This window comes from Homo sapiens, chromosome 1 (assembly GCF_000001405.40).
Source record: "Homo sapiens chromosome 1, GRCh38.p14 Primary Assembly".
NCBI classification, from domain to species: Eukaryota; Metazoa; Chordata; class Mammalia; order Primates; family Hominidae; genus Homo; species Homo sapiens.
Window position 1 is genome coordinate 24988040 of NC_000001.11, and position 26777 is coordinate 25014816.

The following is a 26777-nucleotide window of genomic DNA, read 5'->3' on the forward strand; positions in this document are numbered from 1 at the left end:
ATCCAGAAGCTCAAACAACACGATTAGGACTCAGATCCTCTTATTCTCCCTCTCAGCTCTCCACAGTGCTCTACTCTGTCTTAGCCTCACTTTCAGGCAGGCCTCTCCCCTTAGTGGCCCTCAGCAACTAAAGCTTTGTATTTTATCAGTTTAACAATTCCAAGGGAAAGAGCTTCCCCTCTCTATCCTTCTAGGCAAAGTCTCAGGACTGATTATCATTGGCTGGGCTTGGGTCATGTGCTCTCACTTAAACCGATGATTAGATATAGGATCCAGTGCTGATTGGCCAGGCCTGGGTCATGTGCTCATCTCTTGAGCTGCGGAGTGAGCTCAAGAGATGGTGGAGCTCAAGCTTGGGTGGAGTATCATTCTACCCGAATCACATGCATTGAAAGTATGTGTGTGTTTGCTGGGGGAGTTCCCCAAAGGAGAATAAAGGTGCTGTTCACAGAAGAAGTGAAAATGGACGGCAGACACACACACAGAAGTCTACTCCTGAGCCAAAATTTCTCTATTTCCCTATTGCTGGGCACTGGGTGCAGGTGTGTGAGCTAAAGGGAATGCTTACCTCCTTTTTCTGGGTGCCCTTCTTTTAGTAATGCAGTCGAGAATCCCAAAGTCAATTTTCGCAGCCGTGTCACCCAGTCGATGCCCCTCTAAGTGCTGACTCCTGCCCCACACACCACAGCTCAGCCCAGCCTCTTCCTGCTGTGCTTTGGACGCAAGTCCAGCACTTGTCCTGGTGTCCCTCTGACATCCTATCTTGTTACACTCAAATGAAAGCCTCCTGGCGGCCAGGGTCTTTGTCTGCCTTGTTCACTGTTGTGTCCTCTGCAACCTAGAACAACACTCAGTCCATATGCTCAGTGAATGTTTGTGGAATGAATGAATGAGACCAGCCTGTGGCACCTTAGCCAGCCCTGCTATGTAGCCACTTCGGGCACCTGTAGGCTTGGTGCCAAAAAGACCCTGCCTTCACAGAGCAACACTGGTGGGGGAGTCAGAGAAAGATAATAAACCACAAGAAGCAAACAAAAATGGAATATGTCAGATGGCAGAGAGCATTAAAAAGGAAACAATATTCAGGATAAGAGGATTGAAAGGCACAGAGGTGTCAGGAAAGGTCTCTTGGATGAAGGGACCCTTGAGCAGAGGCCTGAATGAAATGAGTGCATGGACTCTGCTGTCATCTGGAGGAAGGACATTCCAGGCAGAGGAAGAGCACGTGCAAAGGCCCTGAGGTGGGAACAGGCTTGGCAAGTTCTGGGAATAGCAAGGAGGCAGCAGAGGGGAAGGGTGGGAGGAGAGGAGTTGGAGAGAAACAGAGGCCAGGGTGTGCAGGGCCTGAATGAAGCCCATTGTGAGGAGTTCTTCTTGTTTTTTCCTTTTCTTTCCAAACACGGTCTCACTCCCATTGCCCAGGCTGGAGTGCAGTGGCAGGATGTCAGCTCGCTGCAGCCTCGACTTCCAAGGCTCAGGGCATCCTCCTGCCTCAGCCTCCGAGTAACTGGGACTACCGGCATGAGCCACCATGCCTGGCTAATTTTTTTTTTTTTTTTTTTTTTAGTAGAGATGGGGTTTCACTGTGTTGCCCAGGCTGGTCTCGAACTTTTGGGCTCAAGTGATCCGCCTGCCTCAGCATCCCAAAGTGCTTGGATTACAGGCATGAGCAACTGTGCCCAGCCTGGCTTTTTTTCTTTTTTTTTCCCATGGTAGTGGGAGCCATTGGAGGGTTTTTAGCAGAGGGGTGACCTCATCAGACTCCTGATCAGGTGATCCAGGTGGACCACCTGGCTACTGTTGAGACTAGACTGTAGGGAACATGTGTGGAAGCAGGGAGATCCTAGGAGGCTCCCCCAGTAACACGAGCTGGAGGTGATGGGGGCTGGCCAGGGAGGAAGCACTGGAGGTGGGGAGAAATGGGAGTTGTACCTTGAAGGTGGAAGCAGCAGGACTTCCTGACTGCGGGGACCGGGGCAGAGGCTGGTGGGTGGCAAGGCTGTAGGGAGGTTTCAGTTTGAGCACGGGGAAGGATGAAGTGCCCACTACCTGAGGAGGGAAGACTGTGGGAGGCAGGCTCGGGGGAGAACAGTCAAGAATTTTCTTTTGGGCATGAGGTGTTTGAGGTGCAAGTGGAGACACAGGGCACGGTTGGAGATGAGCCTGGAGGTCAAAGGAGGGGAGGTGGGCTACAGACACAGCGGAGGGAGGGGTCAATGATCGAAACCACTTAAACACAGGCTCCATTTCAAGTCCCAGCTCTGTGGAGTTGCCCGACTAACCCCCTCACCAGCACGGTCGCATCCGCTAGTTGGTGATCCTACGGGGTTGGCGGGGATGGTCACACCCACTTTACAGCTGAGAAACAGAGCCTCACAGAGGTTAAGCGGCTTCTTCAGGTCCACGCAGTGAGCCCAGGGCTGAGTCTGAAAGAGATGCCGGACATTAGCAAGGACTAGGGGAGCCGCTGTGTCAGGATAAGTGGCAAGTGACAGACGAAGAGACTGTCAAGCTGGCTCTTACAAAACAAAGCAAAATAAACAGGCAATAGGAATATTATACTGGTTCATAGAACTGAAAATTCCAGGAATAGGGCCTGCTTCAGGCACAGATGGATCCGGGAGCTCAAATGATACCATCAGAAACTCCCTCTGCCCCTCATTCCAGTCTGATTTTCTCTGCTTTAGCTGCTTCTCGCGTAGGCTTTTCTGACCCTTTGTCATAAAGGGTCACCATCAACTTGGCTTTCATCCCATCAGCTTCCACCCTCTGTGAAAGAGAACACCTCTTGGCTGACAATGCAGTCATGGCCCCAGGATTGACTGTCACTGGGTAGCCTGGGTCATGAGCCCTCCCCTGGAACTTGAGGCGGGGTCAGCTCTCTCCCACACCACAAGGAGGGAACACGGGGAGGGGCGGCTCCTCACAAGAAAATCCAGATGTTGTTTTTGAAGGAGGGAAGAGAGGGAGCTGGGGGTGTCCAAACCACAGACAGCCATTGCGGAGGGTGGCAGCTACCCAGCTCTGCAGAATAGGGTGGGTATATAGACAAGCGGCTGCCTGAAGACAACTGTGGTGTCAGGGAGCACGGACTTCAGGTTCCTCCTCCTCTATGTCCTCTCTCTCTTCTGCCAGTCCATGGAAGTCACCCTGCTGGGTGAGGTAACAATGTCCTGCCCCAGGCATTCAGGGATCTGACTTCCCTTTTCCAGCTTGGGCTCTGGATCCCACCCTCCCCTCCAGCCACTCAGCCTCCTCACTCCTTCTGAATATGCCCTGCCCAGTCCAACCCCTGGGCCCTTGCTCATGCCATCTCCTCTCCCTGGAATGCCCTCTTTAGCATCTCCATGTATTGCAATCCTGCCAGCCTGCAAAGGGGGCAGCCCTGCACTGGAATTGGCTGCTTGCGGGCCTGTGTCTCCTCTCACCGTGAGCTCCTAGAGGGCAGGGGAAACACATGTTCTGTGTCCTCATCTCTTAGTTTGGGCAGGTGAGCAGGAAATATTGGCTGAATGAATGAATGATGAATGAATACATTATAATTGAATGATGAAAGAGAGAGGTGAGAGACGGAGGGAGGGGAGAGAAGGGCAGGGAGGACAATCCAGTTCGAATGTTACCTTCCTTGGGAGCATCCCCTGAATCCCATTTTCAAAGTCCGCTGTGATTTATTTCTCAGCACCAGTCATTTCTGGATGTGCCACCTCATCTCCCTGTCCTGTGATTCCAGGAAACATGTCTTAGTCGTCTCTTTTGCTCCTGCCTCCTCCTCCCCTCCTGTGCCCTCCCTGGCATGCTGTGCCTACAAGGGCTTAACGGCTGCTGACTTAAGAAGACTAAAGGCCTTGTAAACATACCAGTGTCCTCCGCTCTCAGGATGATCAGCATTTTCCTACTGAAATAGTGCAAGGCTCAGCTCCATTATTCTCGAGCAGGAGAACCTCAGGCATAAAAAGGAAGTGAGAAGGGTGGAAGAGGACAGGCTTGTGAGTTCTCCAGAGAAGAAGGGGACAGTGGTTGAGTGCCTGCTGTGTGTGGATGCTCCGTACACACTCGGAATTTATTTTCGCTAAAGCCCTGTGAGATGAGTATTGGTCTTCTAATTGCACAGGTGAAGAAACTGAGGCTCAAAGAGGTGGAATGACAAGATCAAGGTCACACAGCTGTTCAGAGACATGGCTGGAATTGTACCCCAGGCCCTAGGCAATGAATGGTATGCTAGTGGTAAACTGGCTCTCAAAAACAAAACAAAACAAAACAAAAGCCCCAATTTGTAGTGTTTGCCAATTCCTGTGGTGTAAATACTCCCCACCAAGGCCATTTTCAAGCTACCAACACGGGCCTGTAAAATTCCCAAATATTTCACAATTGCCTCGTACAAGCTGGTAGCAGCCCAGGCCAGCCATGTCCAGCACGCCACTGATAGTCTGTCTGACCCCATAGCGAGGCTTCTTCCCACCGTCCTGGAAGAGGTGGGGGGTGGAAGGACTGGATGATGTTGCTGCGATGTTGCTGCTGCTGGACAGAGGGAGGTGCCGGGGATGGAGGTGGGGTGGGGACCTCCACCAGCCTCAAGCGTTCCTGTGCTGCTCTGTATCTTGCTGGCTCCCCGTCCCTCTGCCTCTGCAGCAACTTCTCGGCTACTTCCGAAGCTTCCCTGCACCAGGTCTCCATCTTAGATGCCCTCTCTGCTAGGTCTCTCCTTCTTCTGGTTCTTCATCCTCGTGCTGTGTTTTCCCTCCCATTTCTATCTGCAGGTTTCTCTATCGTTTCTTTTCGTGAACTCTTCCTCCCTCTCAGGAAACATTTCAAAGTCTGTTTAAAAAACAACACAGAGACTGAATTTACAGGTTTTTTTCCTCTCTTCTTGAGAACAGGACGTGAGAAGGCCAGGTTGAATTTCCTGTGTGAAATGGTGTGTGGGCTTTCTGAGCAAAACAAGGGTCAGGCTGTGGTCCTAAAGGAGCCGATGCCAAGGTCACCTGGAATCCAGTCTCCGGCAGTGCAGCCCTCCGGGATGCCCAGGCCACTCCTGCCCTCCCTGGGGATGAGTTTTCCAGACGTGTGCTGGGGAGAGAGCTGGGACGGGCACAGAATGTTCTACCACACACCACAGTCGCGCCCCATTTATCCAGGTCCTCACCGCAGGGCCAGAGGTCCCCCACCCCCCTCCCAGCCCCTAAGTCCAGGCCCTGCTCCACCTCCTCCTGCTGTGGGTATTAGCTGGGGCAAGTCACTGTGCCTCTGTGAGCCTCAGTTTCCTCATCTGTGAAATGGGGATGATGAAGCCGACTTGGGGGTCTTGCCAGGGGGACTACATGTAGATAACACACCTAGCAGAACGCCTGGTAAGTAGGCAGTATTGAGATAACCTTAGACCAGCAGGGAGCGGGTGGAGAGGCAGAAGAAAGGGAAGCGTTCCCTATAAATGCTAACTGAGGTCTTCTCCCATTATATGGCAAAACCGTGATGAATTGAATTTCTCTTGATGGAAACTTCCAATCATTAGCTGTGGGGTCTTAGATGAGTTAACCTATTTGTGCCTTAGTTTCCTAATCTATAAGACAGAGTTTATAATAGGACCTACCACATAGGAGTATTGCACGAATTAAATGAGTTAATAGATGAAACGTGCTTAGGACAATGCCTAGCACATAGTAAGTGCTTAATCAATGTCAGCTATTATTATTATCAGTTATTCAAACGATTCTAATAGCCATTCAGCAGGAGAACATGTAATAATTCTCAGTTAAATTCAAGGAGGCCTCTGATGGGGACACTTGCCATACATTTTGCTCCAAGACATCATGATTAAGGCGTTTTAACCTCCTATGCTGCCCTGGTGTTCTCACCGGTGACATGGGCTAGAACAGTCCCCGCTTGATAGTGAGCATCTGGGCGTGGGCATCCCTAGGCAGTGCTTAGAAACCATGGCAGGGATTATGTACTTTCTTGTCCCAGGCTCGAATTCCACAGGTGGGGGATGCACAGGGCTTTGTCCCTCTGTGGGCATCAGGGCCTGGAGGTCAAGTCCCTGGGGCTCTGGGACCTGCTGCAGCCCCATCTCCGGGTGGCACCTAACCCAGATGGGACACTGCGGCTTCCCACCCCTTGGTCAAGGTGATTGGTTGATTGGTTTGTGAAGGGACATATGACCCAAGCTGGACCGAGGGGAGCCTGGCCTTCCTTGAGCGTGGGTCGCATGCTGGGTGCTGTTGCAGATGAGCTTGTGCATGACTGTGGACCCTTCGCAGCATTGCTCTCCCCATGATATAGATGAGGAAACAGGAGTCAAGAAGCCTGATTCCAGCTCCTGGTTCTGCCACTGACTCACCGTGAACTTGAGGAAGCCCTTCCATTTACTCAACAGACCGTTGTTAAGCGTGGATGCTGGGGAGTCATCATGGCCCCAACATGGAAGCCTCACTGCGTCTCTCTGATCACATCTGAGATAAATGCTTACTCCCATCTCACAGGCAGGAAAACGGAGGCACCAAAAGTTCACAGGGCCAGTAAGTGCTGCAATTGGAACCCAGCCGTCTGCTTCACTGTCTATGCTCTTGAACTGCTGACCATCCCACCCCTCCTAGCAGGGATGGGGTGTCCTCACTGAGCAAGGGTGGTAAGGGTGCTGGCCTTGGCCCCACTCCCCAGCTTCCTGGTTGGCTCTGGTCTTAAGGAAGCACAATGGGAATCCCAGCTCTGAGCTCACTCACATGAGACCCTGGGCAGGTCAATGGTCCTCTCTGAGCCTCAGTTTTCCCAGTTATGGAGAGATGGGTTCTGGTGCTCCAAGCTTTTTGCACCTTCTGGGAGTGCGTGGGCTCTTAGCAACCCTCCGCCCCCCACCCCTGACCCCAAGGTGTCCATTCCTCCCCCCTCCAAACTGTGACCCCTCCTCTGGCGACTCGCACTTAGAACCAGCAGGCTGCCTATCTCCTGGCCTCGCTCCTCTAATGGGGTAAGCAGGCAGTCTGGGTGGGCAGGATCTAGAGGTCCTGGGTTGGTATAGATCCACTGCCCACCAGCCACACAAGGCTGTCTGGCAAGGGGCAGAGCTGTTTCTATTGATCTGCACTGTCAGCACAGGGAAAGCAGTTGTTTTCTTCCCAATCTGAAATCAATGAGACCCAGCCCAGCAGATGGGGGCAGAGGGTTTGGAGCCAGGAAATAGTTCCCCTTGAGTTTTAGAAACACAGGCCAGGGCAGATCAGACTGGGCTTCCTTTGAGAGTCAGCTGGCAAGGTGGGGCTGCAGAGCATGCTGGGAAGAGGCCCGGGCCAGGGGCCCCTTCCCGGCTCAGGGCGCACCGAGATGCTCCGTGCTTCAGCTCATGGCTGTCCCCCTCCAGCCCTGGACTCTGAACCTGATGCATGGCCTGGTGGTACAGGCCTGACATCCCTGGGCTGGGTCATCAATCTGGTTCTAGCCCCTCCTCGGACATTGATCTGCTGGGTAGACTAGGGAAAGTCTCTGTCCCCAGGTGTCAAAGGATGAGGTCAGACCAATGGTCAGTAAGGACAGTCCAGCTCTGCCCTGAAGGGTGATGGTGACAATATTTCCTCCTGTCTGGGCATGTTGCGCCCCCATCCCCCAAGTGATGGCTCATGGGGTAGGCATGGCTCTTGGGGGGCCCATTTCACACCCTAGCCCCTGACATCCCAGTGTCAATTACTGCCCCTTCCCACACACATCTACCCTCTCCTGGCAAAGCTCTTTTCCAAAGACCTCATGATATGCCCACCCCATCCCACACACATCCCCAGGGCCTGCCTGTCTCCCAAGGAGGCTGCAGCTCCCCACGGGGCCAGGAAAGGGGCCCTGCATCTTTGGCCTTCTCTGTGGGGGCAGGGCTGTCCACCAGGAGGAGACCTCATTTGCTGGGCCCACAGACAGGGGCCGTACAATGGCCCCTGGAGCTGGGCTCCAGTATTTGCTTCAGGAAGGAACACTGGGCTGGAGTTCTGCGCTGGGTCCTAAGCTCTGGGCATACCCTGATCTTTGGCCCTCAGTGTCTCCATCTGCAAAGGGGCACCCTGAGCTAGGAAGGGTAGAAAGGCCCTTCCAGGCTGATATTCTCACATTCCCTCCTCTCTGTCTCTCTGCTCCCCCCATCTTCCCCCCTCCATGCTGCTCCTCCCTTCTTGGCCCTCCTCCTGTGTCTCACCTGCTGCCTGGCCTCCTGGCCCAGGCTGGCCCTTCTCTCCCCTGTTCCACTCTCTCCTTTAAGATGAGCCATCAAAAGCACATGTCTGATCAGCTCCTGCCCTGCTCAGCAAAATTCCTGGTTCCCCGGTGCCCAAGACACGGAGATCCAGTCCTTCAGGTAACATTCGAGGCCCCCCAGCCTCCTCCTAGTGGTCCTTCCTGGGCCTCCAGCTTCCAGCCCCAGCACACTGTTCCTGTTGTCAAGTGGGCCCAGGGCTTCCCCACCTGCAGGCCCAGTACCTGTCCTTCCCTCTGCCTACAGTGCTTTCCCATCCTTTTCCCTTGGTCAAAATAATGCTTCAAGACCCGCACACGTGTCATGTCAGCCATGGGACCAGGTGTGCCCCCTTTAGAGCTCCCACAGCACTGGCTACAGCCACTCCCGCTGCAGGCCTGGCTCAGATTCCAGGTGACCCCCACAAGGGAGGGTTTGCTCCATGGAGGCTGGCGTCCTCTCCCAAACTCTGAGAGACTGTGGGGTCCCTGAGGGCAGGGGCAGAGTTGTCCCCATCTTTCCCCAGGGGCTCTTTAATAAAGAAAGGTAGCAGCACAACAATAGTATGGGTGTTGGAACCTGCTGGGGTGCCCTTTGTAGGGAGAGCGGGGGTAGTTTGTTTGGGACTGGGTTGGGTTAAAAGGAGTGAGCTGGATTAGGAGGATTTATCTTAAATGTGGTGGATTTAAGTTGAGTTAGGCCCAACCACCCAGGATGGTTAGGCAGAGTTATCTGGGTTCAACTGGATTAAACTGAGCTAGTTAGATTGGGCTTGTTAGTAGAGTGGGGCTGGATTAGTTGGGTTGTCCTGGTTAGGTGAAATGACCTGTGTGGTTGAATTGGGTTGGGTTATTTGGACTGAGAGAGCCAGGTTGGTTTGAGCTGGGTAAATTGAGTTGGTTTGGCCTAGTTGAACTGGGTTTTGGGGTTGGCTTTGTTTGGGTTAGTTCAGTTGGGTTGGTTTGGGCTGGTTTAACTGGAGTTGTCTGGTTAGTTGCATTCAGCAAGTTAGTTGTGTTAGGCTGCTGAGTTGAGTTGGATTGGCCAATTGGGCTGGTTCAGTTGAGTTGGGCTAATCAGTTGATTAGGCTGGATAGGTAGTGGGGCAGGGCTCCTTGGGTTGGGGTGGGCGGTTAGGTTTGGTTAGATGGGTTGAGCCCATTCCTTGGGTTGGGTTTGTTGCTTGGGTGACTGATTTGGGTTGGCTTGGGCAGGGTTAGTTGGGTAGAGCTAGTGGGATGAGATAGGTCACTTGGGTTTCTAGAACTGGACTGGCTTAGACAGATTGGGTTGGTTGGCTTGTCTGTTGGGGTAGGCCGGCTTGGTGGGCTGGGTTATGGCCTGGCTGGGTTCCGGGTTGGCGGAGGGATGGCCGCAGCCCTCTGAACTCTGCTCAGTCTCCAGCTCTAAGTCAGAGCGGGAGGTAGGGGGTGGGCGCGGTGGCCACAAATAGCTGTGGGGAACACAAACAGTTTGGTCTTCAAAGACCTCAGTGGTGGCGGCTGTAACTTTCCACACGGCCCCAGCAAGCACGTCTCTAGGCCTTGTGTTCGGGCCCAGCTGCTGCTTCCTCTGTGAGCAAACCACAGTGTGGGGGGCGGGAGAGGAGGGAGCTTGGGGGCTCCGAGTCTCCCCACAGGAGCCAGGCAGGCCTTGCCAGGCATCCCCCAGCTTAGGTGCCAGCTGCTCTCTGCCGAGGGGAGAGATACTAGAGATACTGACCCTGCATTAGGGGGAATATCCCCTCCCCTACGGCAGCCCTGGCATGGCCGATGTGCCAGGCCCAGCAGGGGCTTGAGAGGAGGAAGGGCTGTGGGGAGGCAGGAGCAGAGGTGGGGGTGATGGTTCAACTACAGGCCTGGGAGAGTCAAGAGTGTCTGAGAGCTTGGTTTCTGCACAGCTGTGGCGGGATCTGGGTGGACATTCATTCATTCATTCATTTATTCAAAAAACTATTTCTTTTTTTTTTTTTTTTTTTTTTTTTTGAGACGGAGTCTCGCTCTGTCGCCCAGGCCGGACTGCGGACTGCAGTGGCGCAATCTCGGCTCACTGCAAGCTCCGCTTCCCAGGTTCACGCCATTCTCCTGCCTCAGCCTCCCGAGTAGCTGGGACTACAGGCGCCCGCCACTGCGCCCGGCTAATTTTTTGTATTTTTAGTAGAGACGGGGTTTCACCTTGTTAGCCAGGATGGTCTCGATCTCCTGACCTCATGATCCACCCGCCTCAGCCTTCCACAGTGCTGGGATTACAGGCGTGAGCCACCGCGCCCGGCCTCAAAAAACTATTTCTTGAGCATTCATTAAGTGCAAAGACCTGCAGACAAGGGTCAAAGGAAGGAGAGATGGGGATGGCCACAGAGACAGGCTGAGGCTTCCTGGAGGGCGGTGTCGCCACGCCATCCCCTGTATTCTTATTCCCTCTGCTCAGCCCCTTTCTGTTGCTCCTTTGAAGGGACCCACTGTGGGCAGCTCAGAACCTGCCTGTGCTCAGACAAGGTGTGCCCTGTGGGCAGACGTGATGGTGGCACTTGCAGCCCAGCACCCTCCCTTCCCCCTGCCCAGCCCTCTAACTTCCCTGCCTCTGGTCTGTGCCACACCCTACCTCCCCACCCATACCAGCTGGGCTGACCCTGCCCTAGTCCCTGGGAAGGCAGAACAGTGAAACACAAGGGGCCTCAGAGTTTGTCAAATCTAAGCTCACGCTGTAGAGATGAAGAAATTGGGGCCTAGAGTCGGAGCATGGCTTGCCTAGGATACATGGTGCATCGGAGGCAGAGCGAGGGTTGCTGTCTGGATGCCCTGACTGCCCACGCCGGGAGCAGCCACCTGGCTCCGTGGGAAGTCCAGCAGTCCCAGCCTTGATATTTACATCTGTGTGGCCTTGGGCAAGTGTCTTCATCTCTCAGCCTCAGCTTCCTTCAGGGCAATGGTTCTCAACCCTAGGTGATTTTGTCTCTTAGGGGAACATTTGTCAATGTCTGGAGACATTTTCGGTTGTCACAACTCGGGGCGTGCAATGGCACCTGGTGGGTAGTAGCCAGGAATGCTGCTAACATCCAACAGTGCCCAGGGCAACCTCCTACAACAAAAAATTGTCTGGTCCTAAACGTCAGTAGTGGTGAAGCTCAGAAACTGTTCTACGCTGACCAGTTGTCCCAGTTAGCCTGGGACTGAAGGGTTTCCTGGGACATGGGACCTTCAGTACTAAAACTGGGACAGTCCAGGGCAACAAGGATCGTTGGTCACGCTAGCTTCTTCCTCTGTAAAATGAGACCATCGTTACCTTCCCCACAGCACTGTCACAGGCTGCGTGAGAGTCTGTGTGCTGACGGCTCAGCACCATGCCAGGCCCAGGTCAGCCCTGAGCAAGCCCAGTGGCGATTATTCCCGTGACACGGATGCTCACTAGGCTTCCTCCTCCTACAGGCCTTTCTCCTGGTGGCCACTCCTTTCCCCTCTTCTAAGCCTGGCCAACCTTCCTAAGGCTCACAGACCAAGCACCTCCAGGGAACTGTCTCCGACCAGCCCTTCCACAGAGACCTCTCCCTCCTCTGACTTCCCACCACAACACTGTCTGTCCCGCTCAGCCAATCTCTGGCCCATCATGGGTTCCTACTTAGCTACCAGGTGTTTTGAGGGTTAAGAGTCTTCTTCCCAGGTTGTTTAATTTATTCTCCAGGAATTCTGTGATTCCCTGTTCATGCCCCAACTAGACTGAAAGCTCCCTGAGGGCAGGGGCTGTGGCGGGTGCATGTCTGTGCCCCAATGCCCAGCCCAGGGCCTGGTGTGGAGAATAGAAGAGCAAATGTCCACTGAAGAAAGTGAACCTGTGAGCCCTTGCCAGGGGCCAGGCTGCACCCTCTGAGAGTCCTGGACACACTGTCTTCCCTGCCTGTCACCCCCACTGCATGATACCTGGCTCGGTGTTGGTGCAGAGACCCGAAGGAGGCCTGGTCTTGCATCCTTGAGAAACATCAGGATCAAAATCAATAATGTGGCAAGAGGTTTGCTGTACACTGAGGGCCAAAGCTGATTACAACACAGTATGCAGGCGTGAGCATATGGGAAATTATATTCATATGAAGGACATGTTGGTATTTTTTTTTTTTTTTTTGAGATGGAGTCTCACTCTGTCGCCCAGGCTGGAGGCTGGAGTGCAGTGACATGATCTCGGCTCACTGCAACCTCCGCCTCCCAGGTTCAAGTGATTCTCCTGCCTCAGCCTCCGGAGTAGCTGGTACTACAGGTGCGTGCCACCACGCCCAGCTAATTTTTGTATTTTTAGTAGAGTGGGGTTTTCGCCATGTTGGCCAGCTGGTCTTGAACTCTTGACCTCAAGTGATCCACCCACCTTGGCCTCCCAAAGTGCTGGGATTACAGGCATGAGCCACCGTGCCTGGCCGGAGAAGTTTTCTTGACTAGAAATGCACTTTGGCTCTCGAGGGCAGAGGGGACAGCCTGTCATTGTCCTCTACCACTTCCTTGCTGTGTAATGTTGAGCAAGTTTCTTAATTTCTCTGGGCCTCAGTTTCCATGTAAATGGCAGTATAACCATACCTCCTTCCCAGGGCTTTCGGGGAGGATCTGGTGAAAAGATGCTGCAGGGAGACTACGTGGTCAGTGGTCAGCGGGTGTCAGCCACTCCAGTCATGAACACTCCAGGAGACGCTCAGTCCGCGTGAATTCCTCTCCCTTTCCTTTTTCATCCTGCCTCTTGTTCCTCCCTCCAGGTCCCTCATCCCAGGCCCTCCCCAGTGATAGAGAGCCTCCAGAGACCCAGCTTGGAGCACTTGTGGTCCCTGGAACAGGCCAGGGCCTGTGGGCTTGTCCTTGGGCACCTGGAAGACATCACACCATGGCCTCACTACCATCTGCCTGGGCTCCCCCAAGCCGCCCCTCCTGTGCCCTCTGCTCTGGCTACTGCCAGCCATGCCCCCAGGAGACAAGCTTGGGCTGGGCAGGGCTGGATGTATTTACTCTTTGCCGAGGCTGGTTTCTCTGTTGCTGACGTGAAGGCCTGCTGGGTGCCCATGTTTCCTGCCTGGGTTTTCCCTGGCCGGTGCTGGGTTGCCATGTCTTCCAGCCACCCAACCCGGGGCCCCTCCACCTTGGCCACAAGCTCTCCCGCTACGTACCCTCCCTGGCCACCGGAAATCAGACTCAGAAGCCTCCAGGGGCCCTCGGGTTCTCCCTCAGCAGGAAGTTGGCACCCAAGGGCAACTGGCCTGGGCCAGGTCGTTCTTTGGTCCAACTAGGAAGGCCGCAGACTACACACTGGTCAGCTGTTCCGGAACACAGGGAGCCACTGCCTTGCAGCCCCGGGTCTACAAAGAGGTGCTTTCTGCCTCAGGCGCTTCTGACCATTGTTAGAGACCAGCATCCTGGATTGGGCTGGGGAGTTGGGGCTGGGGGCGGTGACCCATCTTAAAGACCCGTTTTAAACTCCTGCCTGTTGGCTTGATGACTCAGGAAGAAACAGCCACACCCCACAACCTTGGGCTCTGGGGCCACTCTGTGGTGAACTGTCTTCCCAAAGATGTTTTTTCCAAATTTTAATCATTCCAGTAACAACTTAATGGCTTTTCTTACCCTAAATTCATATTGTGCATATACACGTATTATATGAGTTATGTTATAATATAGTAACATACATTATATTATATATTATAATAGAACATATATATAAAGGAAAACATATATATTATATTAAATATAATATATGTTATAATATATTTAATATATATGTTATGTATTATAATATATATTATAATTATATATAAATATATATAACATATATGTTATATATTTAATATAATATATTTAATATACTATATTATAACATATATGTTATATACTCATTATAACATATGTTATATACTCATTATAACATATATGTTATATACTCATTATAACATATATGTTATATACGTTACTCATTATAACATATATGTTATATACGTTACTCATTATAACATATATGTTATATACGTTACTCTATGTAACATATATGTTATATACGTTGCTCTATGTAACATATATGTTATATACGTTGCTCTATGTAACATATATGTTATATACGTTGCTCTATGTAACATATATGTTATATACGTTGCTCTATGTAACATATATGTTATATACGTTGCTCTATGTAACATATATGTTATATACGTTGCTCTATGTAACATATATGTTATATACGTTGCTCTATGTAACATATATGTTATATACGTTGCTCTATGTAACATATATGTTATATACGTTGCTCTATGTAACACATGGTATGTGTTATAACATATCGTATAACATATAATATACTATATATTATATATTATATATTTTATATTGTCATATATGATAATAACATATATTATATAATATGTTATATTATATATTATGTTATATTCATGTTAATTCACATCATGAATATTATATATTATAATATATTTATATATGTTATAGTATATATTATATATTATAACATCTATATTAATTAATTCATTCTTTCTACTTAAATAAATTTATCCTCATCCTAAAAAACCTTATTTGTCAAATCATAGTTTGGATTCCCTAGAGATGTTTTTCTCCTAAAGCATATTAGATAACCATGAAAATAGCAAATTCTGGTTGGTGAACCATCTATAATGGTGTCCTTGAAGAGTGATTCGAAGGGTTATTCGTATGAAGGTTCCCTGAGTCCATCTCTTCTCAGGCCTCTGAGATGTCACAGCCCAGTCCCTTCTGAGCCACCCCCAGCTACAAGAACACTGAAAGCTACTCCGTGTCATGAAGGTTGATGGGCTCTGCTCTGCTCAGCCTTTATGGGTACCCAGAGGAGACACTGAGTCCAGCTTGGCTTGGCTCAGGAGGCAGGACTGATGATAACAACCCCATATATTGGCACAGCACTTTACAGTTTGCAGAGCCCATTGTCACATCCTAGGCTTGCCACGACCAGCCTAAGACCACGTGACCGAAAAGAATGGAGCTGACATTGATGGACAACGTCTCAGAATGTTATCGCTGGAAGGGCCTAGTGGTTATTTGGTCTTGTGCTTTCTGAAGCTGGTCTATGGGGTGCTTTGGGGCAGCTGCTGATGGGCACCGACCCACAGGGTGAGAGTGGAGTGCCCTTTTCCATTCTTGCTTATGTCTTTGATTAGCATCAGGGCAGAAGTTCCAGCTGGAGAGTCCTTGTACTCTTGGACTTGCTAACCTCCCACCTAAACAGAGCCTCCCAGGCAGGGCCTTCAATGGATGATGGTGTCTAGCTGGGGGCTCATAATGGCTGTGGTCAGCACCCCCTCCTCACTGCTGCTGGTGTACACAGCATGTATAATTCCTGTCCCTTGAGTGTGGGCAGAACCCATGAACCTCACTTTGAGTCAGTCACAAGGGAGTTTATTCTGGCTGGCCTGACCTCATCAGAGGAAAATTTTAAAGGTGAAATGTCAGGAGGTGTGCTCTGCCAGCCTGGGAGACAACCAACAGCCTTGTTATGAACAGCCCACGAGGGGGCCACGTGGCAGGGAACTTTGAGTGGCTTTTAAGAGCTGGGGATGGTCCCTGGCTGACAGCTAGCAGGGAAATAGAGACACAGTCCTACAGCTATGACGAACTGAATTCTGTCACCAGTGAGCTTGGAAGAGGACTCCGAGAGCAGGTGAGATTATAGCTCCATTGACACCTTAATTTCAGCCTAGTGTGACCCTTAGCAGAGGGCCCAGCTGACTCATGCCTGGACTCCAGCCCTATGGGAACTGTGGGAGAGTACATTTGTGTTGATGTAAGCTGATAAATTCATACACAGCAGTAGGAAAGTAATAGTGCTTTTTGCTTTTAATCTCAGCTCACTGCAACCTCCGCCTCCCGGGTTCAAGCGATTCTCATGCCTCAGCCTCCTGAGTAGCTGGGATTACAGGCTGGTGCCACCACACCTGGCTAATTTTTGTATTTTTAATAGAGACGGGGTTTAACCATGTTGGCTAGGCTGGTCTCAAACTCCTGGCCTCAAGTGATCCACCTGCCTTGGCCTCCCAAAGTGCTGGGATTACAGGCATGAGCCACCACACCCAGCCACTGATACTGATTTTCTATGTAGTGTGGAGATAAAAAGTTTCTTTAACATTTTAAAAAATTAGTTAATCCAATTTTAAAAATCAGTGTGGTATATCCAAACATGGGCCAAATTTTTTGACACTCATCAAGAGGTGGGCTTTATGCCTCCTCCCATGAATCTGGGCAGGCTTGTGTCTGCTTCCACCAAGAGTGTCATGAAAGTGACATGATGTGGCTTCCGTGGTCAGCTTATAAAAGGCTGTGCAGCTTCTGGCTGGGTGTCTTGGGACACTCCTGCTTGAGAAGCCAGCTTCCACATAAGACACCTGAGTAGGCCCAAGACCACCATGCTGAGAGGCCACGGGTGGGTGCTCCAGCCACCAGCCAGCATCAACTGCCAGCAGTGTGACAAGTCAACTTGAACATCCAGCTCAGCCAGGCCTTCAGATGAATGCAGCCCTGGCCAGCCTCTGATGACAACTGTAGGTGACCCCAAGCAAGAGAGACCCTGCTTTGCCTTTCTTGAATTCCTGACCGCGACATCACGAGCAAAATAAAATGTTGTTTTAAGCCGTTATGTTTTAGAGTCACGTGTCTTGCAATAGCAACTGGATTAATGAGTGACACATTCATGTGGTTCAAAAACAAAAAAGTATAAGACTATCTGGGATCAGCCGTGGATGAGGACTGCCCAGAGGTTGTGGCTTTGATGAGATGCCACAGCCTCCCCGTCCCTCCTCTCCAACTGTAGCCTCACCAGCAACAAACATTTGCTGAGCACCTACTGGATACTTTGCATCATGGGCAATTTCGGCATTCCTAAAAGAGGCATCAAGGAGGCAAGTAGGGGAGGTCCCTGCCTAATTAGAGGAGAGGACACAGATGAAGCTAACGCATCCCAGCCAGGGTACACTGCAGGTGCTCAATCAATGTTTCTTGCAATGAACTGAGCCCCTCAGCAACCGTGCTGAGCACTCCTTCATTCATTCCCAAACACTGATGGAGTGCTGTGTTAGGCACTGTGTGGCCTGGGAATTGGAGAGGCGGTTCCTGCCATGGCAGCACTTGCATCCCAGTGTGGCATCAGTGCTGAGGGATGCAGGTAGGAGGCAGCAGCCTCGGGGGCTCAGCAGTCAGCAGAGGCATGCTGTCAGTGGAGCATTTATGGACCTTATAATTATTTAATAGCTAACATCTTAAAGTTACGCACTTAATATATACCAGGCACCATTCTCAGCATTTTAGAGCATTTAAATCTCCTCAAAGCCAAGGGATGATATTACTGTTATCTCTTCAGACAGGGAATTGAGGCTCAGAGAGGTGCAGTCAGTGGCAGACAGGAGGCAGAGGCACAGCTGGGACCCAGGCCTTTCCAAGCCCAGAGACCCACCTTTAGCCACCACCCTCTACTGCTTCCCCAAGGAACAAGATTGAGCCGACTGAAAGGACACTCCCGGTGAGGGAGGCTGTAGGAGCAAAGGCTTGGAGGCTGGAATTTGCGTCCCAGAGCATGGAGTTGGGAAGGAGGAGGAGCGGAAAGTGGAAAGAGCATGGAGTTCGGGAGAAGGAGGAGCGGGAAGTGGAACAGGGCTGGAAGGTTCAGTCAGGACACCTGCAAGTGGCTGAGATGCCTTTGGAGATGCCCAGATTGTCAGAGTCGGGTTCCCCTCTCTCTGTCTCTATTTGTTTGTCTCTGTTTCTCTGGAATGGAGCCTCCCTTTCTTTGCAGAACCTTTTTTTTTATTTTTACAATGTAACTTACTCTAAATAAATAAATATATTAACAAAGTAAATGTCTTCAATGAGAGCTGGCCCCCTCAAAGGCATTTCCGTTTGCAAAATAGGTGGAGAACCCAGAGCTGTCTTCTGATCTTCCCTTCAGGCATTGCTCTGGCCCAGGAAGGTCCCTGTGACTGCTGAGGTTTAGGAGAAACAGCCTCCAAGGCAGCCTGAGACACTCAGCCCAGGAAGAGGGGGCTCAAGCACTAGGGCCAAGAGGCCAGGCCCTCAGAGCACGGCAGGGCAGGCCCCTTCACCCCCAGGAGACAGTCCCAGCCTGCCGCTCTCCTGGGAGGCATGGATGAGCCTTGTCTGTTAGTGCAGGAGGGATCCTTTGATCTCTTGTGCAGGTGAGCCCAGGGAGGGCAAGGGACTTGTCCGAGGCCATGCAGTCACAGCGTGTGACTTAGACGCCCCCAATCCAGGGCGCTTTCCCCAGCACTGGGTTCACTTGCCTAGAGATGAAGGATTAGTCAGAGCTCTGAGGTGTCCTTGTATCCCCCCTCTACCCCACTGGAAGGATTGACATGTAAGTTCATAAATGCTGGGAGCCAACGGGTTGCAGAGATGACAGTGGCAGGGTTTCAGTCATGGCTTTCCTTCCAGGCTTACTGTCTTCATTCTTGGCTTCCACGGCCAGGCAGTGGCCAGATCATGCTAGGAGGGGGATGGGAGAGAAGGAGAGAGGGTGAGAAGGGAGGTTTAGCTGGCCCTGGGAAGCCGTGAAAGAGCCGATGTGAATGAAAGTCAGACTTTCAGAGGAGAAGCTGGGGCTCCGGGAGGAGCACTAGCCAGGGAGTCAGAGACCCAGGGTCCAGCGTGAGGAGCTCCCTGCCTTCTGTGTGCTTCGACATTCATTTCATTGATGCAGTGAATACCGGCTAAGGAACTACATGCCTGGCCCTGTGCCAGGAAAGGGAGAGGGAAAAATCAAGCCGACTTGGTCAGTTACAGAAGCTCACTGTTCAGCGGGCGAGAGAACACGTGGGGATCTTGTTGAGATATAAAGTTTGATCACGACTGCAAGGGAAAATAGAGAGGGAGGGCTGCGGGGCTTTAGGGTGGGGGTGCTGGGAGAGGAAGCCCATCAGGTGAGATGTGGGAAGGGCATTTCAGGCACAGACACTGCAGGAGCAAAGGTGGGGAAGAAGGGGTGGGCATATGGCCCTGCTCAGCTGGAACCCCGTCCTAGGGAAGGAGGAAACAAACATTTGGAACGTGTGCATGGTACCAGATCAGAGTGGGTCTTGAATGACCAGCTAAAGATTTTGGACTTCATTCTGCAGGTGGCAGGAGCCACTGAAGGTTTTTGAGTGCAGACATGCCAATAAATGTGTGAAGCAGGAAGAGGCACATTTTGAAAGTTTAATGCCCCTTTCTTTCTTTTTCTTTTTTTTGAGACAGGGTCTCACTCTATCTCCCAGGCTGGAGTGCAGTGACACAATCACAGCTCGCTGCAGCCTTGACCTCCTGGGCTGAGGCAAGCTTTGCGTTTCAGCTTCCTGAGTAGCTAGGACTACAGGCACGTGCCACCACACCCAGTTTGCTTTTTAGAGATGGTTTTTCGCCATGTTGCCCCGGCTGGTCTTGAACTCCTGGGCTCAAGGGATCCACTTGCCTCTGCCTTCCGAAGTGCTAGGATTCCAGGGGAGAGCCACTGCACCTGGCCACTCCTCTATTTCTTTCTTTCTTTCTTTCTTTTTTTTTCTTTTGAGACGGAGTCTTGCTCTGTTGCCAGGCTGGAGTGTAGTGGCGCAATCTTGCACTGCAACCTCCGCCTCCCAGGTTCAAGCGATTTTCCTGCCTCAGCCCCGCAAGCAGATGGCACTACAGGCACCCGCCCCCACGCCCAGCTAATTTTTGTATTTTTAGTAGAGGCAGGGTTTCACCATATTGGCCAAGATGGTCTCGATCTCTTGACCTCGTGATCTGCCCTCCTCGGCCTCCTAAAGTGCTGGAATTACAGGTGCATTACTTCCCAGTCTGCACCCATAACAGGCATCGCTAGTTGATCCTTGCACTTTCTCTCCCATCAAGCTCCAATTCAGCTCTAGAGTGTCCCAGCCAGTCTCTACCAATCACACGGAATTGGCCTGAAGGGTGTTAGTAAATGGCTCTCTCTTAACTAGATGATGATGGCAGTGGTGCTAATCGTAATGAAGCCTGCAGCACTCTTCACTTTTCATGCTGCCTTCTGTCTGACTCACCACTCAGGACACCCATTACTGGCTACTGTCTTCCAAGGAGGAAAACGGAGGCACAGAGAGGTTGCCAGGCTTACCCAAGGTCACTCAGCTTTCTGCAAAAGTTTCTCCTAAGTTTAAACCCCAGCACCAAGGGCCTGACCCCACTTTTCAGTTAAACTCCAAATGTCTGCCCAGCCCTGATGAAGGCAGCTGATGTTGGGGCATGCTCTTCAGCCTTGCCACTGTCCCCAGAGCTGCTGGGCTGTCTCCTGGCCCCAGCCACAGCCCTGGTGGTCCCAGATGCAGAGCACAAGGAGCTGCTGGAATTGTTGGCACAGGACAGACGCCCAGTTAGTTAGAAAAACATGTGGCTTACTCTTCCCTCTCCTGCCCCCTCCAGCCACCACCACCTTCTAATTCAATTTCCCTTGAAAAACAATGGTTTCAATGAAGGGGGAAACAAGATTTTCGGAAACTTCATAAAGTTTTGCAAAATAATTACCCCCCAAACTGGCAGACTTCCTCCCCCTTTCTCCTCAAATGAACGTCTCTGGGACATTTCCATAAGCTTTATATCCCAGCTGGATGTGCCCCTGGGCTCGCCCTGAGGCTACCTACCCCAGATCAGACTCTGGGCATCTGCTGGGCATGGGGTCCCCTGGGGCCATTACCCTCTCTCCCGGTTGCCCACCTCCTCCTCTGATGAGGATTGGCCAAGAGGAGAGGACAGAGGAGGGAATGTTCCCTGAGCTGGCCATTGCAGTGCCCCGAGCTGCTCCACAGATGGGAGCTGGGAACCAGGGCGGGGAAGGAAGCCGTCTGATGGCTCAGCAGAGTGCAGTGGAGGACAGGGCCAGGTCTGCACCCTGGACCGCCGGCTCTTCTTTCCAGCTGCCTTGCCTGGAAGCTTCGGGTCAGCCTTGGGCCTGAAGCCTCGGGAGGCCTCTGGGAAATGCGTCTCTTGGTTGGTCACACTCCCAACCCTGGCTGTTGCCAGCCTGCATGGGCAAAGTGGGATCCTCCTTCCTTCCTCACTTCCCTGGGAGCCCAGGGTGGCCCAGATGCTATGTCTGGCTCTGCTGGTCTGCAGACCACCCCTCAATCAGACACACCAGCAGGCAGCCAGGCATGTCCTGACGGGCAGCCAGGGTCAAACCACCAGGAACAGAAGCTTCTCTTTGCCATGCTCTGCCCTCTCCTGATGCCCTCACCTGGGTACTTGGTGATTCCCGTGACCCTCAGCAGTGGGCAGCCTCCTGGGTCCTCCTCTCCCCACTGGCTTTCAGGGAGTCTCCCATGTGCTGCCTGAGGTGTCCCCCTTTGAATGCTCCCTCCAAGACAGTCTCCTCTGCCACTCCCCAGAAAGGCTACTGCTCAACCCACCCTCCCTACAACCTCGACACCCCTCTGCCCCAGCTCCCATCCCAAATCTCACATTTTTTCTACTGCCAGAGGTGAAGTTTGATGAACTCATTCATACTAAGGTGTGAATGATTGACCGTCTGCACTCTCCCAGAGACAGACTTTGTTGTGGGCTGAGATTCTGGGGTGGGAAAGCTACTCAGAAGACACAACCAGGTGCTACAATGAGAGACTCCAAAGCAGAGCCATCTGTCCCAGGCCCTACACTGTGTAGCAGCTGCAAGCAGGTGAATAGGAAGGAGCCTGGGCAGTGATACAGCTGAAGGCAATCCCTGCTTGCTACCGGCACCAACTCCAGCCTCTGGCTTGAGGCACCCTGAAGGTGCCCAGTGCAGGAACCAGTCTCCAAAACTGACAAGGCCCTTAACCACCTCCCTTAGGAAGTCCCCACCCACACTGGGCAGGGCTGACTTCTGTAGGCAATAGGCTACTGCAGAAATGAATGAGTGTGACTTCTGAGGCTAGGTCATTAAAGGCATACTACTTTTCTGCTTTACTTCTCTCTGGGATCGATCACTTGCTCTGAGAGAAGCTGGCTGCCATGCTGTGAGGACATTCAAGCAACCCATGGAGAGGCCCACATGGCAAGGCCAGCCAACAGTTTGCACCACCTTGCCAGCTGTGTGAGTGCACCACCTTGGGTGCAGGTCTGCCAGCCCCAGTCAAGACTTCAGATGAGTGTAGTCCAAGCTGACACATGATCGCAGCCTCCTGAGAGACCCTGAGCAAGAAATGCCCAGCTGAGCTGCTCTCGAATTCCTGGCCTGCAGAAATTGCAACATAATAAATGTTTATTGTTTTAAGCCAGCAGGTTTTGGGGTAATCTTTTACACAGCAAAAGATAACATGCCAGCCAGCCCCTCCACCACCAGAACTCTCCTGCAGCCTCTCACTGCAGCCATTTGCTCCAGCTTTGTTAAGAAAAATTACCCAAAACTTGGAAATAGGCAAAGACAGGGCAGCAGGTCTTTTCAATGTCATATTGGGGTGTTGTTTAGCAGGCCCACTAAGGGTATCTGCTATGGTCTGAATGTTTGTGTCTTTGCAAAATTCATATGTTGAAATTTAATCACCAATGGGATGGGGTTAGGAGGAAGGGCCTTTAGGAGGTCATTGAATCATGAGTGTGGAGTCCTCATGAATAGAATTAGTGTCTTTATAAAAGAGGCCCCAGAAAGCTGCCTTGCCCCTTCCACCAAGTGAAGACACAGCGGGAAGGCACCATCTATGAGAACACGGGCCCTCACCAGACGCCTTGATCTTGGATTTCCCAGCCTCCAGAACCGTGAGAAATAAATATCTGTGGTTTATGCATTACCCAGTTTATGGTATTTTGTTATAGCTCCCCAAACAGACTAAGATAGTATTTAATTATCTAGAGGAAGGTACCTTTGACTTAGTATGAGCCATTAGAAGACCAGACTTTAGAAGTTATATGTTAATATATAGATTTCTGTCCAGTAGAAAATGCCCCAAAAGTTACGGACTTCTGGCCCATCAGGACATTAACCAGTTTTGTATCTCACTGAGCCATTGTATTCCAGTATTCTTTTCCCAGTATTCTGTAGTGCTATTCCTCTACTTCTCCTTTGAATCAGCTTTATCTTCTTACTGGTTCCCTCATTCAGGAGTTAAACAAATTTTGACATGTGTTCAACCTATATTTGAATGAGAGTTATGCTTTTACTCTATTTTTTTTGAAATTATACTTTGACAGCTTACGTGTGCCCCGGAAATAGGGAACTCACTACCTATCAAGGAACTTGGGGATCTTAGAACAGCTCCTAAAACAGGCTTAGGGCTTCTTCCTTATTCTCATAGCTGCACCCTCTGTCCCTGGTTCTCCCTTTGAGAAAACCTCAGGAAGTGAGCCGAACCCCTAATTCCCACAGCAGCTCATCAAATTTGGTAATTTCCTATCGCTTTGCACTCTAGACTACATATTTTGTGTTCAGAAAAAGAAGTCATTAAATAAATAATAAAAATTGAGATCTAAATTTTACTTCCATGAGTTGAAGAAGAATGGATCCGAGAAAAGAGCCATTTATTGATGCTGCTGTGTACAGGCCTGTGCAGTTCGAAGAACTGGAGATTGGCAGGGGTCCACTCTGACCCTCCACCCATTCCCTTCTCCCCATGCTCTAGGGGGATCTCGGATGAAATCTTTAGCCCCCGTCCCTAATCCCCTTCATGGCCTCTGGCTCTTGGAATAAAGGTCAGATCCCTGCTACAATGTCCTCTGTGGCCTGGCCCTGCCCCCCTCCTTCTTGTCTCACACCGAGCTCCCCGTCAGCATCTTCATTCCATTGGCACTCTCACTCCCTCAGGTTCACGAGGATCCCTTGCACTGCCTGACCTTTGCTTACGCCGTTCTAGCTCCCCATGGCAGTGCACCCTTCATCTGTAGGAGCACTTCCCCTCGCCTTGATCATTCTCTGTCCCCAGGGAGGTTCTCCAAGCGCCTATTCTCCATCACTCCCGCCCCCCACTCCCACACTCATTAGGTGGTAATTTGACCTTTGCTTGTGGGATGATTTGATAGTGCTGGCTTCCCTTGCTGGGTTGCAGGTCACAGAGGGACAGGGACTGCTTCTGCCTTGTCCTACCTTTTGTCTCCAGGATTCGCAGTAGGCGCAAGTGAGAAGTGGACACTCAGAGCCCTGGAGTCCAGGGCCTGGCACCAAGGAAGCAGCAGGGGGAGTTTGCTGAGCAAACAAATAAAGATTTCATCACAAGTTGGGGCAGAACAGGAGGCTGATACCTACGTCCTGGGCTCCAGGGCTGGCGCTCCTCCCACAGCCCTGTGCATGGAGCGCCCAGTGAGGGCCAGATTGTTTCCTGTCACTCTGAATGGAAATGACATGGCCTCTGTGCACCCCCATGAGCTGTGTCTCAGATTATGTGAAGTACAATAAAAATGCCCTGTTTTTTTCTCTAAAGAGAGCAACTTACTAGCCACAAGAGACGTCTTGACACCCACTCACACCCAGCTCAGAGAGTTTTCTTTATTTAAAAAATATATATCACAACATAGGTAAAAACAGAGAATGTGTTGAAGTGTGGTGATTACAAAGTGGAAGCCTCCTGCCATTCCACTCCCAAAGTAACCACTGCTGACCATCCCGCATATACTATCTTCCCATGAAAGATTTTTCCCATGAAAAATTCCCCACGTGAATTTCCACAGTCCACTCTTTCCTGGGGCCTGCTCTGGGCCGGGCTACTTGATATATTAAGCATCAAAGTACCCCTAAGGGAGGTACTTGATTTTTATCCCCATTTCATGGATGGGGAAACTGGAATACACAGAGAGGTTGAGTCGGTTGCCCAAGGTCCTACAGCCGGTAAGTGGCAGAGCTGGGATTTGAACCCGGGCAGCAGGTTCAAGAGTCTAGATGTCAGATCCTCTTGGTTTCATGCAGGTATCTACACTTGAGGTGGATGGCACAGCTGTTCAAGGGTGGGGGTCTGGACTTTGACGGTGACTCTGCTCCTTCCTAGCTTTGTGACCTTGGGCAATTGACTAGACCTCTCTGTTCCTTGGCGTCTTCATCTGTAAAATGGGGATGTGGTAGTCCTGCTTTCTGGATAGTTGTGTTAGTGGGCAGGAAGTGCCTGGAACAGAGGTGGAGAGGCAGTAGATGCTCAGTCACCTGGAGTCATGTGTCAGGTGACACGTCACAGTCACCAGTGCTACCCACACCAGGCCTGAGGCGTTCTCTGGACCTGAAGACCCACACCTCCTGCTGTCCTGACACCAGCCTGGGTCCGGCACAAGTGGAGACACCTCACCTCCTCTTTACTGACAGCCCAGGGCCTGCACCCAGGCTTTCTGGATTCTGACAGGTGTCACCTCCCACTGCCACCTTCACAGCAGCTGCCTCACTCCAGGAACCCTGCCAGGACCTGTCTGCCCATCACAGTCCACCCAGGGCTTGGAGGGCTTAGAGCTTTGGTGTCTAATGTTCCCGAGCTCGAATCCAGGCCGTGGCTCTTGCTGCTGTGGCACCTTGCACAGTTTCCTTCCCATTCTCAGGGGAGAGGGCAGAGCAGGTGCTCAGTGAAACAAACAGGCCTCAGTTTCTCATCTGTGAAATGGGGATGCTTGGTGCTGGTGTTGATAAGCCTCATAGGATGGAGAGGACAAACTGAGATAACATTGGCATGATGCCCATCTGGCAGCACGTGTCTACGAGATGTTGGCTGTGAGCACGATCTCGTTTTCTCCTCACCACAGTTTCCCGAGTTGGGACTTAACAGCCACGATTTACAGGTGAGGAAACTGAGGCTTACCGAAGGCAGTGAACGGTCCAAAGTCATATTTCTGACATTTGATGAACTCAGGAGGGCTGCTGGCTCTGAGGTAGCCACCCGCAGCCCCCATCCTCCCCTTACACCTCTCAGCTTCCGCCCCTCCCACTACGGCTTAGCACCCCCCTCCACAGGGACACTGGGCCAATTGGGAGGGCTTGGGGCGGGAGAGGCCACAGATGCCAAGAGGGAGAGACCTAGAACTGACCAAAGGGACTCTAGGCTCCCCAAATCTTGGAGTGGCAGCAGCAGACATGCTCAGAGATCATGGCCCCAGAGCTCCTGTCCATCCAACCCTCTCCGCAGGTACCCAAGCCAGCCCACCCAGTTTCCGCTAGGCGGTGCCTCAGCCTCTGACCTGCAGCCCCCGCTGCACCACAGGTCAGCACTGCTCAGGCTGGTGGGAAAGCATCTAGTCCAGGAAAGTCCAGGGGTAAAGCCCACTGCAGCCTCCCCATTTTCCTAGGAGCAGGTGACCAGCTGAGGCCCTGTTCCCGGAACGGTCATCCCTACTATTTTGACACAGGCTTATCAAGTCCTACCTCTGCATGTGCCAGAACTTTACACAACCAGGACAATTAATCCTCCCAAAAATGCTGTGCAGGGAAGGCTATGATTAACCACGGACAGAGAAACTGAGGCACAGAGCAGTGACATGGCCTGCCCAGGCACACGCAGCAGCAAGTGGCGCACAGACACCAACCTCAGTCAGTCTGACACCTGCAGCCACACGCGTAACCCCCATACTCTGGCGAAACTTCAGCGCCAGAGGGGCCCTGACACAGAGTCTGGCCCAGGGACCCTCAACCCCAGCTGTTCAGT

At 51.6% G+C, this 26777-nt stretch overlaps 4 annotated features.

Annotated features, from left to right (window-relative positions):
• Positions 147-206: a silencer, noted in NCBI's record as "silent region_449". NCBI's record gives its function as "represses an Ori minimal core promoter by ATAC-STARR-seq in GM12878 lymphoblastoid cells {active_cell/tissue: GM12878}" and the evidence as "EXISTENCE:reporter gene assay evidence [ECO:0000049][PMID:35858748]".
• Positions 1629-2130: an enhancer, noted in NCBI's record as "H3K4me1 hESC enhancer chr1:25316159-25316660 (GRCh37/hg19 assembly coordinates)". NCBI's record gives its function as "activates a minimal SCP1, AML or CMV promoter by ChIP-STARR-seq in naive H9 embryonic stem cells {active_cell/tissue: H9 hESC(naive)}" and the evidence as "EXISTENCE:reporter gene assay evidence [ECO:0000049][PMID:30033119]".
• Positions 9685-9914: an enhancer, noted in NCBI's record as "active region_428". NCBI's record gives its function as "activates an Ori minimal core promoter by ATAC-STARR-seq in GM12878 lymphoblastoid cells {active_cell/tissue: GM12878}" and the evidence as "EXISTENCE:reporter gene assay evidence [ECO:0000049][PMID:35858748]".
• Positions 13113-13252: an enhancer, noted in NCBI's record as "active region_429". NCBI's record gives its function as "activates an Ori minimal core promoter by ATAC-STARR-seq in GM12878 lymphoblastoid cells {active_cell/tissue: GM12878}" and the evidence as "EXISTENCE:reporter gene assay evidence [ECO:0000049][PMID:35858748]".